General features: G+C 41.4%; 1 protein-coding gene across 12 annotated transcripts in view, besides 2 other annotated features; it reads left to right on the top strand.

Moving 5' to 3' along the window:
* Window positions 1-17,600, top strand: part of SAMD3 (sterile alpha motif domain containing 3) — a 223,117-nt gene that overhangs the window by 178,402 nt on the left and 27,115 nt on the right. For 9 of the 12 annotated variants that reach the window (XR_001743174.3, XM_047418239.1, XM_024446335.2 and 6 more), the window contains 3 exons: window positions 2,844-3,029; window positions 3,280-3,364; window positions 11,459-11,626. Coding sequence is in view for 11 of the 12 variants with exons in the window: in XM_047418239.1 (XP_047274195.1) it covers window positions 2,844-3,029; window positions 3,280-3,364; window positions 11,459-11,626 (439 nt within the window). In the remaining variant the exon portion in view is untranslated. Of the gene's footprint in view, window positions 1-2,843; window positions 3,030-3,279; window positions 3,365-5,125; window positions 5,396-11,277; window positions 11,373-11,458; window positions 11,631-17,600 lie in introns of those variants that run through there. The other 3 variants (XM_017010309.3, XM_017010305.2, XM_017010310.3) reach the window with 3 other exon arrangements.
* Window positions 3,495-3,544: an enhancer, noted in NCBI's record as "active region_25056". NCBI's record gives its function as "activates an Ori minimal core promoter by ATAC-STARR-seq in GM12878 lymphoblastoid cells {active_cell/tissue: GM12878}" and the evidence as "EXISTENCE:reporter gene assay evidence [ECO:0000049][PMID:35858748]".
* Window positions 9,901-10,100: a silencer, noted in NCBI's record as "fragment chr6:130498512-130498711 (GRCh37/hg19 assembly coordinates)". NCBI's record gives its function as "represses an EF-1alpha promoter that drives an FKBP-Casp9 reporter gene in an ReSE screen in K562 erythroleukemia cells {active_cell/tissue: K562}" and the evidence as "EXISTENCE:reporter gene assay evidence [ECO:0000049][PMID:32094911]".

The following is a 17,600-nucleotide window of genomic DNA, read 5'->3' as shown; positions in this document are numbered from 1 at the left end:
GAAAATTTGATGCTTCTGATCTTTCCTAATACCTCTATTTAGAGCAAGATGGAGTATCTGTCTCCTTGGATCCTTTATATGTCTAGCTACATTGTGGATGTTTGATAGAAATAATACCATGCAGTATAGTCTCCGCCCCGACACTGAAAAAAAAAAGGAGGGAAAGTATGTAGAATAAAAAGACAAACAGTGTAACGAGCTTTATTTTATAACACTGGAACATTGAACTTATCTGTTGAGGTGGTACTAAGTAACATAACAACTTCAAAAACCTGGACCCGGCAGGCAGCTAATTTAGCTACTTGAAAATCACTGGGGAAAAGGAAATAGATGCTAAGATTACTGAAACCAGCTTAACACCTGCCAAGTTACATCGCTTTTAAAAAATGCTAGGAAGGCCCAGGCACGGTGGCTCACACCTGTAATCCCAGCGCTTTGGGAGGCCAAGGTGGGCAGATCACAAGGTCAGGAGATTGAGACCATCCTGGCCAACATGGTGAAACACTGTCTATACTAAAAATAAAAAAAATTAGCCAGGCACGGTGGCATGCGCCTGTAGTCCCAGCTACTCAGGAGGCTGAGGCAGGAGAATCGCTTGAACCCGGGAGGCGGAGGTTGCAGTGAGCCGAGATTGCACCACTGCACTCCAGCCTGGGTGACAGAGCAAGACTCCGTCTCAAAAAAAAAAAAAAAAAAAAATCCCAGGAAGGCACAAAAGACATCCAACAAAACTGGCCATTACTTTATACTTCTAGGTCTCAGTAGATACAGGAGAGGTAATTTGGCCATGGGAGAAAGAAACAAAGTAATAGAATATGGAAGAAAATGAGGATTGTGAAAGAGTAATTCGCATTTAGTAGACCCCTAATAAATACTGGTTGAATGAATGAACAAAATGAAAGAGAAACATACTAGAAAATAGATTGGGCTGCAGCGGAGACTTACATCTGGAAATATCCTGTTGTGGTATTGGGTCAAGTATTAAATACTGGTGTGCTTATTTTAGCCAGGACATAATTTCGCCACTGATATAGTAGGGACCGCCAAAGGGGGAAAAAAGGAAAGGGAGCTTATCATAAAAATAGATGTGAGAGTGCTTTCTCCTGTGTGCTTGATTCTCCATATCACATTATAGCTCGTGCATTCTTATAAAGGATGACCTAAAATGCTAAAAGAATCCTAGTCTTTCAAAATTCATCTGAATGTTGCTTGGGCCACTAAAGGTTCCATGGTCATCAGAAAATTAACCTACTTAGGCCAATTTAGGAAATCTTCCTGTTGTCTTCTACTTGGCTTGCCTCTGTTTCTTTACTTCCACCACAAATCGATCCTATTTATAAATGGGTTAAGAGCTACCTAGTGCCTTTGATTAATTGTTACTTGGACACTTTATTAATATTATAGAGTCTTCATTTTGCATACTCAGTGGTCAGTCACTAACTTTAAGGCTTGAACATTGTTCTGATAATTTTATAAACAGCCTTATTGACATTTCATTTACATAGCATAAAGTTCACCCATTTAAAGTGAACAAGAGGCTAGCTGTGTTGGCTCATGCCTGTAATCCCGACACTTTGGGAAGCCACAGCAAGAGGATCACTTGAGCCTAGAGTTCGAGATGAAACTGGGCAACATAGTGAGACCCCATCTCCACAAAAAATAAAAAATATTGGCTGGGCATGGTGGCACGTGCCTGTAGTCCCAGCTATTTGGGAGGCTGAAGTGGGAAGATTGCTTGAGACCAGGAGGTCAAGGCTGCAGTGAGCTGTGATTGCACCACTGCACACCAGCCTGGATGGCAGAGCAAGACTCTGTCTAAAAAAAAAAAAAAAAAAAAATTGGGCAGATGCAGTGGCTCAGGCCTGTAGTCCCAGCACTTTGGGAGGCCAAGGTGGGCAGATCACGAGGTCAGGAGATTGAGACCATCCTGGCCAACATGGTGAAACTCCATCTCTACTAAAATACAAAAAATTAGCCAGGTGTGGTGGCACATGCCTGTAGTCCCAGCTACTTGGGAGGCTGAGGCAGGGGAGTCACTTGAACCCAGGAGGCGGAGGTTGCAGTGAGCTGAGATCGTGCCACTGCACTCCAGCCTGGCGACAGAGTGAGACTCCATCTTAAAAAATAATAATAATAAAATAAAAAATAAAAAAGTGAATAGCTCAGTTAATTTTAGCAGCTTTATATGCTTGTACAACAAATAATCACTACCCATTTTATCCACCCTCATCCCCAGGCAACTCCTGATCTGCCTTCTGTAGTTATAGTTTTCTGTAGCCCTTCATAGAAATTTCATCTGGATAGAATCGGAATATCTGTTACTTATATTTAATTTGGAAACTAAGTTCACCTTATCAAAATAGGCAAAGACAAACTAAATTAGGTGGATCTTGTATTTAATTATAAACAACAGCAGAATAAATTAATTAGAAGAATTTTCTTAACAGGTGCTAAGACTTTATGGTAGGCCTCATTTGCTTTGCTGAATTGCAATGTATTTTCTTTTTGTTAAGTATATTGTCTAGTTTTGAGCTATGCATTACATTTTCTCTTTAAGAAAAATGAATTAGTATGCATTTCAACTTCAGGCTTTATTCTAAAGTCTATATTATTATGACTTTTTCTAAAGAATACATATTTATGTGTTGTGTGAATGGACAAAGACACTTAATGAGCCTTCAAACATTTGTGGATGGATGAATGGATGGAAGATGGCTTGATGACTTCCATATATTTGGGTCTCAGGAAAGTTGTTTATTTCATAAGTTCTCAGGATGTAGCAAATTAATAAACTGCATATATTTGGAATAGAATTTCATTCTTTGTGTGTTTTTATTTCACAGAAGAAATGTGAAACAAATTCTAGCAAGAAGCAAAGCATTACAGTGGACGAAGTCCTATGTTTTACCAGAGTTTCCCTATGATGTCAAATGCATGTTAGCAGAGCAGAAGTGCCCGGATCACAGCATGAGGATAAGGATCATTGAGTTTCTCCAGGCCGACATGACTAAGTATCTGGAAGGCTCACTGTGAGTGACAACAGGACAAGCTTGCTGCTTTGGGAAAGGGTCTGTTTCAGAATAGAGTAGAATTCCTGTGGAATCAACTCTCTTCAGATTGTGGATGATATATTGGTAATAGGTCCCAATTGCCCAATATTTAAATCTCTTTTTGTTATATAGAAAAATGTGAAGAAAAATGAGTGTAATTAGACTCATCTTAAAGGAAGGAATGTGGTTTGCTTGAAGTGAAACATATCCTCCTTGTTTTGGTGAACAGGTACCCCAGCACCCAGCAGTACAATGACGTGGTTAATGCCCTGCTGCAGGCCCACCCTTTCCTGGATGAGGATGGCTGTGGCTTCGTAAGTGACCACATGGCACCATCCTGTTAATTTCAGACTATCTTAAAATAATTGCCTTGTGTTGCCCAGTAATTTTATGCTTCACCCATCTTTTCTTGGTGTCTCTCTCTCTCTCTCTCATTCTGTCTATGTATCTAGGTCTATCTGTTTCTGTTTTTCTGACTCTTTGTCTCTTTAATCTCTCTCCAACTTTGTTTCTGTCTTTCACTTTCTGTTAGTCCATGCTTCTTTCTTGACTTTGCGCTCTCTCTCTCTCTGGCTCTCTCTCTTTCTCTCTCTGTCTCCTTGTCTTCCCTTTTTCATAACTTCTTGGTCTCTCTCTGCCCTGTGTTTCTTTGTCTTCTTTGTCTCTCTCTGTCATCATGTTGCTGTCCTGTCAAAACTGGAAGCTCAGTGCAACAGAGCTGATCAGGAGTTGCCTAGGGCTGAGGGTGGCCAAAATGGATAGTGATTATGGTTGCACAAGCATATAAAGTTGCTAAAATTGAGCTGTTCGCTTTAGAGTCTTAAGGGTTTTAAGGGTTAGGAAGGGTCTTTAGGAGATGTGACACATAGAAAGAGAAAGACATGGCTGCACCTGCTTCGGAGCTGTCATCAAGTGTTTCTTGCCTTCTCAGACCCAGTGGAGCTGTTGTCTGGCTTTGAGGTCTGGGCCTCCAGCCTTACCTGGCCCTGTCAGATCTCTGCTTTCTGTCCTGATAAAAACAGACCCTCAGGATGCTCTGGGGCAGCAGTTCTTTTTTTTTTTTTTCCTTTTTTTTTTTTTGAGACGGAGTCTCGCTCTCTCACTCAGGCTGGAGTATAGTGGCGCGATCTCAGCTCACTGCAACCTCCGCCTCCTGGGTTCAAGCAATTCTCTGGGGCAGCAGTTCTAAGCTCTGGTTGCACATTAGGATTCCTAGAGATTCAGATTGAATTAATTTGAGGATGGGATTATTCTAATGTACAACCACGGCTGAGAACCACTGCCGCTGACGTTTCAACACAAAGTTTGCTGTTTGAACCTGCCTGTCTCCTGGATTTCAAAGACCACTGTCTTCATTGCACAACAATGTGAATATAATCAACACTATTGAACTGTACCTAAGAATAGTTAATAAAAAACTGAGTGTTTATGATGCTGTAACTTTATGAGTTAAGGAACAATTACAAGGAACTGTAGCTATGTATACAAAAAGGTAGATGGTCTATTATTCCCTGTATCTCTATATGCCATATGCATACACATTGGTAGGCATATCTAAAGAAGATAGATGTCTTTTTGTGCTTTACTGTCTCAGATGTCTGTGAAAAGATATTTTTTGCTGTGCTTTCTTAAGGACATGGAATTTCAGCAATTATTTCCAAGAACAACAAAGGATAAATGCCAATTATCTATGAATATAAAGACATTTTAAGGCTCTGTTTCCTCCCTCCCTTCCTCCTTTCCTTCCATCCTTCTTTCCTTCCTTCCTTCCTTCCTCCCTCCCCTCCCTCCTTCTTTCTTCCCTCCTTCCTTTCTTCCTTCCTTATTTGTATTTACCCCTCCCTCCCTCTCTCCCTCCCTTCCTTCCTTCTTTCCTTCCTTCCTTTCTTCCTTCTTTTTTTGTATTTTCAAGAAAAGGTTCATTATATATGGAGAGAATCACAGAATTTTCTCAGTGGGAGAGGTAATTAAAGGTTTTTTTCACCACTCAGACTGAGGAAAGATGTTGTATACCATGTCTGGAAAAATGATAGTTATTGAAGCCAAGATTAGAATTCAGGTATTCTTGCTTCTAGGATGACATCCTTTCCAAAATATGCTGCTGCATATAAAGTGCACTACAGAAGAAACTGAATTTCCTCTAAAAAAACAAAACAAAGCGAAGGAAAAAAAACAAGGCAACAACAACAATACTACACAAACCTGGCATCCCAACATTGACAATCATGTCAATATGGCTGACAAAACTGATTCTCGGAATTTCTTCTACACTGGAGATACATCTACCAACTTAATGTCTAATCAGTGTTACTGTGTATAGAACTTGTGGTTTTTTTTTTTTTTTTTTTTTTTGAGACAGAGTCTTGCTCTGTCGCCCAGGCTGGAGTGCAGTGGCACGATCTCGACTCACTGCAAGCTCCGCCTCATGGGTTCACGCCATTCTCCTGCCTCAGCCTCCCGAGTAGCTGGGACTACAGGTGCCCCCCACCACGCCCAGGTAATTTGTTGTATTTTTAGTAGACATGGATTTTCACCATGTTAGCCAGGATAGAACTTGTGTTTTTTTTTTAAATTTACATTTACTGTTTGAATAAATTACATATTTACATAGCTCAAAATTCAAAAACTACAAAAGGGTATAAATAGAAAAGTTTCCCACCCGCCCTTGCTTCTGCAGCCACCTAATTTTCCTCCCCATAAGTAACCAATACTATTAGAGTCCCTCTAGAGAATCTTTGCATATACCTAAGCAAATCCATATTGATTCAATACCTTTTGACCTTTAGTTTGATGGTTATCAAAGTGAGACATGTACAAAGTAACAAATAATGCTTTCTTTGCTCTTGTGTCCATTTTATCCACATCTGTTCCCAGTGACATTCACTAAGGACCGTTAACTGATAAAGAGATGTGTGCAAAATTGCTTAGCAGATTAGGGCTCAGATTTGCACTCATAGAGTAGAAGGAGAAACTCTGGTGCCTGGATGGATGTTTACCCAAATTCTCCCTGCGAGTGTGTGTGAGGTTGTGTTTCTAATGTTACAGTGGAAAATGTACAAAATTTCAGAGAACATTAATGGGAGGCAGGGGTGGAGAAAGAAAAAGGGTGCACAAACTTGGTTATTTTTAGGGCTAAGTTTATTTTTAACTCTTAATTTTGAAAAATTTGGGGCCGGGTACGGTGGCTCATGCCTATAATCCCAGCACTTTGGGAGGCCAAGGCGGGCAGATCACCTGAGGTCAGGAGTTTGAGACCAGCCTGGCCAACATGGTGAAACTCTCTCTCTACTAAAAATACAAAAATTAGCCGGGCATGGTGGTGGGCACCTTTAATCCCAGCTACTCAGGAGGCTGAGGCAGGAGAATCGCTTGAACCGGGAGGCCGAGGTTGCAGTGAGCTGAGATCACGCCATTGCACTCCAGCCCAGGTAACAAGAGCGGAACTCCGTCTCAAAAGAAAAAAGAAAGAAAGAAAAAGAAAAAAGAAAAGAAAAGTTTCAAATCTGAACAAAAGTTGAAAGAATGCTACATTGATATGCATATACTCCTAACAACATGGATTTTCTCAACCTCTTGACTGTTTACCTTTGGGGCTGGATAATTCTTTCTGCTGGGGACTGTCTAGTACATTGAAGTATATTTAGTAGCATCCCTGGCACCCACTAGGTGTGAGTAGCACTCTGTCCACCCAGTTGTAACAACCAGACATGTCCCCAAACATCACTAAAGTAAGCACACTACAGAATAAAGCAAAATTTCTCTTAAAAAACAAAACAAAGCAACAACAACAACAAAACCAAACAAGGGGAGGGAGAGGAGCAACATCACGTCACTGGCTGAGAGTTACTGATCTAGATTAGGGATTTTTTTGCCACATTTATTTTTCTTCTGTCATATTTGTTTGCTTGTTTGTTTGTTTTGGTTGAGCATTTAAAAGCAAGTTGCAGATGTCATCCCTAAACACCATAACATATATAAGAACAGCTGGGAGTGGTGGTTCACGCCTATAATCTCAGCATTTTGGGAGGCCAAGGCGGACGGATCACTTGATCCCAGGAGTTCAAGACCAGCCTGGGCAACATGGTAAAACCCCATCCCTACAAAAAAAAAAAAAAAAAAAAAAAAAAAATTAGCCAGGTATGGTGGCATGAGCCTGTAGTCTCAGCTACTTGGGAGGCTGAGGTGGGAGGACCACTAGAGCCCAGGAGGTTGAGACAGCAGTGAGCTATGATTGCACTACTGCACTCCGGCCTGGATGACAGAGCAAAACCCTGTCTCAAAAATAATAATAATAAAAAAAAAGGTCGTGTACGGTGGTTCACGCCTGTAATCCTAGCACTTTGGGAGGCTGAGGCGGGTGGATCACCTGAGGTCAGGAGTTCAAGACCATCCTGGCCAACATGGTGAAACCCCGTTTCTACTAAAAACACAAAAATTAGCTGGGCATGGTGGCAGGTAACTGTATTCCCAGCTACACGGGAGGCTGAGGCAGGAGAATCGCTTGAACCCAGGAGGCAGAGGTTGCAGTGAGCCAAGATCAGTGTCGTCGTACTCTAGCCTGGGGGACAAGAGCGAGACTTCATCTCCAAAAAAAAAAAAAAAAAAAGAATAAGGACAATCTCTTATATAACCACAATACCATTCTTATACCCAAGAAAATTAGCAATAAGTGCATAATATCATATACAATCCATATTCACATTTCTCCAATTTTTCAAAAATGTTTTAAAGATAGTTTTTTGCTATAATATCTAATTGAGTATTATGCATTGCATTCGTTATTATGTCTCTTTAATTTTTTTTTTTTTTTTGCCTAGACAGTCTCTCCATACCCTTTTTTATTTTTCTGGATATTTGCTTTTTGGACAAGTCTAGTCCAGTTGCCATGTAAGACGGTCCACATTCTGCATTTGAATGTGCAAAGATCTGCTCGTGATGCTGTGGACTGCTTCATATGTCACAACAGGAGGTCTGCAATTTCAGGGCCATTTTTTATTTCAGAGTGGTTGACGGAGAGCTGTCTTCATGTAGAACTTTCTACACCCTCTCTAGCTGGAAACATGGAGGAGAGGGATGATTATTCTATAACATAAATATTTCCTACTGAGTCTGCCTACCTGAGGCGTCTGCGTAAGTAACTCATGGTGTCAGGCATATAGCAGATTCTCAGTAAATATTCATTGATTGAATACTCATGTGGAAGATTGTATTTGATTTGTCCTTTTTCTGTTCCTATCAGACAGTTAATAAGGAGAGATGGGAGAGGCTAGAAAGAAGAAATTGGCAATTTAAAAATGTCCTAGCCGTTGATTGCTATAATACCTCCCACCAGGTTCAGCACATTTAGAAACCCTTCAGAGCTACAGGAAACATATGGAAAAAAAATGTACTATACTTGCTTTAGTTCATATTTCATGGCTAAGAAAAATACAAGCCATTCTTTTTGTCTGTTCTGTGGTAAAACAGCAATGGTAAAGTCCAGGCTCACAAGCAAGCCTATGGGAGGTGATAAGGCACCTCTGACTCATGCATACCTGGGAGCTTAATCAGTGCTGAAGCCATACTCCAACCCTCAACCACTGCCTTTCTTACTAGGGCTGTTGAAGGACTTTACAAACAGCACTTTAGTTTACAAATATCTTCTATGAGTAGCTACTCACTCTCCCAAAAGGCTAGTGCAGTTGATAGGACAGATCTTATTGTTCCGTTTTATAGTTGAAGAAACTAAAATTAAGAGGGGTTACTTGGCTGATATGTATTCACACTAGTACTTGGACCTGCAGTCTTCCCAACTTAGGCTATGGTGCTTTCAGGGATTACTCTCATTGGGACTTACAAACCATATAACCAGGAATGGCAAAATCTAAGTGCCAAGCATTTGGCTAATGTTATTTTGGTGTCATTCCCATTGGCCCATGAGGAAATAGAGCTTAGAAAACATGCCCAAAGCCATTTGGCGACTTACCACTTTCTCTCTTGGCCAGGGCTCGAGGGAAACACAGGCCCATATGCCTGCAGGGGTTTTTTTTTTTTTCCCTTCCCCGCACTCACTGTGGGGATCTATTCAATCACACGGCATTGCAGCGGAGAAGAGCAGCAGAAGCAGCCCTAAGGCACTGTCTTCAAGAAGGGTTGGGCCAGCCGGGCGCGTGGTGGCTCACGCCTGTAATCCCAGCACTTTGGGATGCCGAGGTGCGCAGATTACCTGAGGTTGGGAGTTTGAGTCCAGCCTGACTAACATGGAGAAACCTCGTCTCTACTAAAAATACAAAAAATTAGCTGGCTGTGGTGGCACATGTCTGTAATCCCAGCTACTCAGGAGGCTGAGGCAGGAGAATCGCTTGAGCCCAGGAGGTGGAGATTGCAGTGAGCCAAGATTGCGCCATTGCACTCCAGCCTGAGCAACAAGAGTGAAACTCCGTCTAAAAAAAAAAAGAAGGGTTGAGCCACCACTCATGCAGTGAGTTAGTTACCAGCTAAGCACTGCCAAGACTCAGAGTCTTGCTTCTGGTCTGTCATGCTGACACCTGCATCTCCTGCTTCACAGAGTATTGACACAAGACATCAAACATTTATAGTTTCTAGCATGCATGAAGCACCGTGCTGGGCTTGGTGGGCAAAGCAGGCATGAGCCTTTCTTTATGTGCTTATAGCCTAGAGGAAAGGAAGGAAGGAAGGAAGTGAAGGAGGGAAAAGAGAAAGGAAAAGAAAAGAAAAAGAAATATAAATAGAAACAGACAAAGTATCACATAGATGAGGGTAGATTACCACTGTGATAAGTGCCAGTGAAGAAAGGAGAGATCCAACACCAAGCTGTTACAGAAGCCAGAGGACACTTCCATGAAGCACAGGCTAAGCTGAGACCTGAAGGCAAAGCAAGGGTTAACTACATACCATCTAGGTGTGGGAACAGAGGGATAAAGCTTTCCAGGCCCAAACTGAAGGCCCAGCAGTGGAAGAGATGTTGGCATATTGAGGTAGAAGTCCAGGGGTGCTTCCTAGGTATTGTCCATGTCTCTGGTCTCACAAAAACTCCACATGCCAGACAGATCCTTCCAGAGCTCAAATCTGGACCATTCACTCTCCCAACTCAACATGGCCTAGGAAGACTTCCTAACCTGGCTGTTCTGACGAATTCTCTGTAGAGGTTTAAAAAATACAGACATCTGGGCTCCATTCCAATCTCCCGAACAGTAGCAAGCAGCAGCATCACATGGGAACTTGCAAGAAACGCACACTCTCAGCTTACCCGTGACCTCAAAATCAGAGATGCTGAGAGTGGTGCTCAGCAACCTGTGCTCTAACAGGTCCTCCAGGAATTGATTCAGGCTAAATTTTGAGAACCATTGCTTTAGAGGAAAGACCAAGGGCAAAAGTTCCTATGAGATTCTAATACAGCCTGTCCACAGAGACAGATTTAAGATCTGGTTCAGGATTACATTGAGGTTCCTTAATGGGGTGACCATGGCCGTTGATGATTGGGCTGGCTCCTCTCTCCCACTTTATTTTTTACCCCATCCTCTGTCATTCCCTCATCTTGAGCTCTGTGCTCCAGCCTCGCGCAACTCTTGGTAGTTCTCTAAGGGGCACCAGCTCTCCCTCTATTCCATTGCACTTGCAGCTTCATCCTTCCGGAACTTCTGTGCATCTACCCAACTGGCATTTCCCATTGCTATCTCCATCCCTTCATGCAGTTACCTGACCCTAAGACCTAAGCCGCAGTTTAGATTCACTTCCTACAGGAAGGCTTTTATGATCTCCTAACACAATGTAAATGAATGATGTATCTTCCCCTATTATAATACTTTTCACTCTATATTGAAATTACTCATCCCTCTGCTACACTGAAAGTGAGGTCCACCTACACCCTTCTCCCTCCCAGAGTGGGGAGTTGGTCTTTTTGTTTGAAACAGTAGAGGCACCACACACACTTAGGGAGTGAATGCCAATAGTACTCATCAAAACAAATTTCAAAAGATGACAGGAAATTATTTTTAAAGAAAATGCATCAATCCATAAGCCACTATCAGGTCTTTTCTAGAACCCACTAGAAAAATGGAATTGGTTGTGGAGACAGAGTATAGTGGAAAGTATCACTTTTGGGAATTAGAAAATCCAGGTTCAAGAACCAATATATTTACTCAATAACCATATGACATTGGGAAAAGATTTATATTTCTGTGACTTTGTCTGCTTACCTATAACTTAGGGTTTATAATTTCTGTAGCAGTGTCACAAGATTGCTGTGAGGATAAAAGGAAGGATAGATATATTGTTTCTATTACCATGATGTGAAAATAATTTCAAGCCCAAAGATGATAGGTATGTATTGTTGTTGTATAGACGTATTGTTTATATAGGATTATCTCAATCTCCTTGAAGATTAACTGGTCTGTTTTATTTTACAGTTTTTATGGAAACGAGCCCTCAAAGATCGCTTTAAATATGTTCGAAGACCCATAGAAGATGATGAGCAAGTGATTAGAAATAAGTGTAAATTTGGACACCGAAGAGGCCAGACAAGGAAATCTCTTGCTGATATAAGATTTGATGAAATTAAACTTGTCCAGATAAAAGTAAGATTGAATTCCTAAATGTTCTGATGACTTGATAGATTGATATATTGATTAAGGGATAATAAATAATAGCATTTAAAATAATTAAAACAAAATAAGATACCTTTTTAAAATTTGAAGTGTAGTTAAGAACCAAGAAAGTCTGTTTTGCCTGGCTAACAATGAGCGTGATATTTCCAAGAAAAGAATTCCCAAAACAATTACTGAACATCTCGTGTCCAGTTTTTTTCACAACCTTCAAAAACTTCAAAAAACCCTTAAGTTCGAGTCCTTGAATAATTTTTTTTTTTGCTCTTATCCTACAATGCGTCTTATGTTCTTGATGCTCTTATTGCTACAGGAAGTTTTTTAATACTCACATTGTCTGAGTTAGGTAGCCTCTGGTCTCCAGGTTTCAGGGAAGAAATAACCCACATGCATGGATACAAAACTCCATTGTGGCCTTCCCTTCCCTGCTGGTCCTGAAGCCTTTCCACCCCAACCCAGAAGTGGCTGTCGGGAGCTCCAGGCTGAGGGCCCGTGGGAGGGCCTGGAGATTCAACCCTCAGCACCTGGGAGGTCATGGGAATTCCAATTGTCTGAGATCCTATATATATTCCTTTTCTACCTCAGAGCACCGAAATTCCTCAGAAACAAAAATTTCCCCTGCTATCAAAGTAGATTGAACTCTTTAACAAGGATGTCTGAACTACCAAGTATGAAAGTGAAATCTCTTGTCCTCCCAATTCTGTTTCTATCTTGATCCAATGTGAATATGTAAATCCTAACTCTTCAACAAACATGTTTATATTAGTGAATGTATTTGGTGTAAATATTCTATTTTCTTTTTCATCTGGTATATTTATTGGATAATAAAAGGGCAAAGCATTGAGTCACCTCAGTTTTACTAGTGCTAGTTATAAGATCCATAGGATAGGAATATTTTAAATATATTTTGTAAACCACTTATCCCAGCATCATGCATCATGCAAAACTCGGGTGAAAGTATGTACTTTAAATATCTTATTCTAATTTTCAGTGAGACTTTCAAAATAATAGGTCAGTCAAGATAACATAGTTCTAAAACTGTTCTTTGACAAAAAGACAAGACAGCTGAAAGGTGCCCTAAAAGAAACTTTTTAGAAACTTTGAAAAATTCCAATTACAAACTAAAATTATAAGATAGAATCATATTTATTTGGCAATCTTTTATGTTCTTAAAAATCACTTTGTGAGAGGGACCAAGATGGCCGAATAGGAACAGCTCCAGTCTGCAGCTAGCTCCCAAAGAGACCAATGCAGAAGGTGGGTAATTTCTGCATTTCCAACTGAGGTACCCACTTCATCTCATTGGGACTGGTTAGGCAATGGGTCCAATGCACAGAGGATGAACAGAAGCTGGGTGAGGCATTGCTTCACCTGGGAATTGCAAGGAGCCAGGGACCTCCTTCCCCAAGCCAAAGGAAGCCATGAGGGACTGTGCTACCTGGCTGGGTTACTACACTTTTCCCACAGTTTTTGCAATCTGCAGATCAGGAGATTGCCTCGTATGCCTACACCACCAGGGCCCTGGGTTTCAAGCACAAAATTGGGTGGCTGTTTGGGCAGACACTGAGCTAGCTGCAGGACTATTTTTTCATACCCCAGTGGCGCCTGAACCCCAGTGAGACAGAACTGTTCAATCCCCTGGAAAAGAGGCTGAAGCCAGGGAGCCAAGTGGTCTTGCTCAGTGGGTCCCACTCCCATGGAGCCCAGCAAGCTAAGAACCACGGGCTTGAAATTCTCACTGCCAGCACAGCAGTCTGAAGTTGACCTGGGATGATCGAGCTTGGTGGGGGGAGGGCTGTCCGCCATTACTGGGGCTTTAGTAGGCAGTTTTCTCCTGACAGTACTAAGGAGCTGGGAGGTCTGGGCTGGACACAGCAAAGTGGCTGTGGCCAGACTGCTTCTCTAGATTCCTCCTCACTGGGCAGGGCATCTCTGAAGGAAAGGTAACAGCCCCACTCAGGGGCTTACAGACATAATCCCCATCTCCATGGGACAGAGTGCCTGGGGGAAGGGGCAGCTGTGGGTGCAGCTTCAGTGGCTTTAATCCTTCCTGCCTGCTGGCTCTGAAGAGAGCAGCTGATTCTGACAAGAGGGATTCTCCCAGCACAGCGCACCAGCTCTGCTAAGGGACAGACTGCCTCCTCAAGTGGGTCCCTGACCCCAGTGCCTCCTGACTGGGAGAAACCTCCCAACAGGGGTCGACAGACACCTCATTCAGGAGAGCTCTGGCTGGCATCTGGCCAGTGCCCCTCTGGGACGAAGCTTCCAGAGGAAGGACTAGGCAGTGATCTTTGCTGTTCTGCAGCCTCAACTGGTAATACCCAGACGAATAGCATCTGGAGTGGACCTCCAGCAAACTGTAGCAGACCTGCAGAAGAGGGATCTGTTAGAAGAAAAACTAACAAACAAAAAGCAACATCATCAATGTCAACATAAAGGACTCCCACACAAAAATCCCATCCAAAGGTCATCAAAGATCAAAGGTAGATAAATCCATGAAGATGAGGAAAAACCAGTGCAAAAACGCTGAAAATTCCAAAAACCAGAATTCCTCTTCTCCTCCAAATGACAGCAACTCCTTTCCAACAAGGGCACAAAACTGAACAGAAAATGAGATTGATGACGGCTTCAGAAGGTGGGTAATAACAAACTCCTCTGAGCTAAAGGAGCATGTTCTAACCCAAAGCAAGGAAGCTAAGAACCTTGATAAAAGGTTACAGGAACTGTTAACTAGAATAACCAGTTTAGAGAGGAACATAAATGACCTGATGGAGCTGAAAAACACAGGACGAGAACTTCGTCAAGTATCCATAGTGGAATCAATCAAGTGGAAGAAAGGATATCAAAGATTGAAGATCAACTTACTGAAATAAGGCATGAAGAAAAGATTAGAGAAAAAAGAATGAAAATGAATGAACAAAGCCTCCAAGAAATATGGGACTATGTAAAAAGAACAAACATACAATTGATAGGTGTACCTGAAAGTGACAGGGAGAATGGAACCAAGTTGGAAAACACACTTCTGGTTATTATCCAGGAGAACTTCCCCAACCTAGCAAGACAGGCCAACATGCAAATTCAGGAAATACAGAGAACACCACTAAGATACTCCTCAAGAAGAGCAACCCAAAACACATGATTGTCAGACTCACCAGGGTTGAAACGAAGGAAAAAATGTTAAGGGCAGCCAGAGAGAAAGGCCAGGTTACCCATAAAGGGAAGCCCATTAGACTAACAGCAGATCTCTCTGCAGAAACCCTACAAGCCAGAAAAGAGTGGGGTCCAATATTCAACATTCTTAAAGAAAAGAATTTTCAACCCAAAATTTCATATCCAGCCAAACTAAGCTTCATATGTGGAGGAGAAATAAAATCCTCTACAGACAAGCAAATGCTGAGGGGTTTTGTCACCACTGGGCCTGCTTTACAAGAGCTCCTTAAGGAAGCACAAAATATGGAAAGGAAAAACTGGTACCAGCCACTGCAAAAACAAACCAAAATATAAAGACCAATGCCGCGATAAACTGCATCAACTAATGGGCAAAATAACCAGCTAGCATCATGATGACAGGATCAAATTCACACATAACAATATTAGCCTTAAATGTAAATGGACTAAATGCCTCAATTAAAAGACACAGACTGGCAAATTGGATAAAGAGTCAAGACCCATCAGTGTGCTGCATTCAGGAGACCCATCTCAGGTGCAAAGACACACATAGGCTCAAAACAAAGGGATGGAGGAATATTTACAAAGCAAATGGAAAGCAAAAAAAGAGTAGGGGTTGCAATCCTAGTCTCTGATAAAACAGACTTTATACCAACAAAGATCATAAAAGACAAAGAAAGGCATTACATAATGGTAAAGGGATCAATGCAACAAGAAGAGCTAACTATGCTAAATATATATGCACCTAGTACAGGAGCACCCAGATTCATAAAACCAGTTCTTGGAGACCTGCAAAGAGACTTAGACTCCCACACAATAATAGTAGGCGACTTTAACACCCCACTGTCAATATTAGACAGATCAACGAGTCAGAAAATTAACAAGGATATTCAGGACTTGAACTCAGCTCTGAACCAAGTGGACCTAATAGATATCTGCAGAACTCTCCACCTCAAATCAACAGAACATAGATTCTTCTCAGTGCCACACAGCACGTATTCTAAAATTGATCACATAATTGGAAGTAAAACACTCCTCAGCAAATGTAAAAGAATGGAAATCATAACAGTCTCTCAGACTGCAGTGCAATCAAATTAGAGCTCAGGATTAAGAAACTCACTGAAAACTGCACAACTACATGGAAATTGAACAGCCTGCTCCTGAATGATACTGGGTAAATAATGAAATGAAGGCAGAAACAAAGATGTTCTTTGAAACCAGTGAGAACAAAGATACAATGTACCAGAAGATTTCAGGCCAATATCCCTGACAAACATCAACACAAAAATCTTCAATAAAATACTAGCAAACCAAATCCAGCAGCACATCAAAAAGTTTATCCCCCACAATCAAGTCAGCTTTATCCCTGGTGTGCAAGGCTGGTTCAACATAAGCAAATCAATAAACATAATCCATTACATAAACAGAACCAATGACAAAAACCACATGCCTATCTCAATAGATGCAGAAAAGGCCTTTGATAAAATTCAACATCGCTTGATGCTAAAAACTCTCAATAACCTAGGTATTGATGGAACATATCTCAAAATAAGAGCTAGTTATGACAAACCCATAGCCAACATCACACTGAATGGGCAAAAGCTGGAAGCATTCCCTTTGAAAACCAGCACAAGACAAGGATGCCCTCTCTCACCACTCTTATTCAAGATAGTATTGGAAGTTCTGGCCTGAGCAGTCAGGCAAGAGAAAGAAATAAAGAGTATTCAAATAGGATGAGAGGAAGTCAAATTGTCTCTGTTTGCAGACGACATGATTGTATATTTAGAAAACACCATCATCTCGCCCAAAAACTCCTTAAGCTGATAAACAACTTCAGCAAATTCTCAGGATACAAAATCAATGTGCAAAAACCACAAGCATTCCTATACACCAATAATAGACAAACAGCCAAATCATGAGTGAACTCCCATTTGCGACTGCTACAAAGAGAATAAAATACCTAGGAATACAACCTACAAGGGACATGAAGGACCTCTTCAAGGAGAACTACAAACCACTGCTCAAGAAATAAGACAGGACACAAAGGAAAAGAAAGACATTCCATGCTCATGGATAGGAAGAGTCAGTATCATGAAAATGGCCATACTGCCTAAAGTAATTTACAGATTCAATGCTATTCCCATCAAGCTACCAGTATTTACAATCGCAAAGACTTGGAACCAACCCAAATGCCATCAATGATAGACTGGATAAAGAAAATGTGGCACATATACACCACGGAATACTATGCAGCCATAAAAAAGAATGAGTTCATGTCCTTTACAGGGACATGGATGAAGCTGGAAGCCATCATTCTCAGCAAACTGACACAGAAACAGGAAACCAAACACACCACGTGTTCTCATTCATAAGTTGGAATTGAACAATGAAAACATGGACACAGGGAGGGGAACATCACACACCAGGGCCTGTTGGCGGTGGGGGACAAGGGGAGGGAGAGCATTAGGACAAACACCTAATACATGTGGGTCTTATAACCTAGATGACAGGTTGATAGGTGCAGCAAACCACCATGGTACATGTGTACCTATTAACAAACCTGCACTTTCTGCACATGTATCCCAAAACTTAAAATGAAATAAAATAAAAATCACTTTGTAAAATAACAGCATTACATTATGCATAAGTTACTTTTCTCAAACATTTGATTTTCAGTAGAATAAAGGTGGAGTTCCTTTCCATTCAGTTTCCCCTCTTTTTCTATGAGGTATTTCCCACCAAAATTCAACGGAATTGATGAATGGTAAAATCAATTGTC

This window comes from Homo sapiens, chromosome 6 (genome assembly GCF_000001405.40).
Source record: "Homo sapiens chromosome 6, GRCh38.p14 Primary Assembly".
In the NCBI taxonomy this organism is placed as follows: Eukaryota; Metazoa; Chordata; class Mammalia; order Primates; family Hominidae; genus Homo; species Homo sapiens.
The sequence above is the reverse complement of the archived record's forward strand: the minus strand, read 5'-3'. Positions and strand labels throughout refer to the sequence as shown.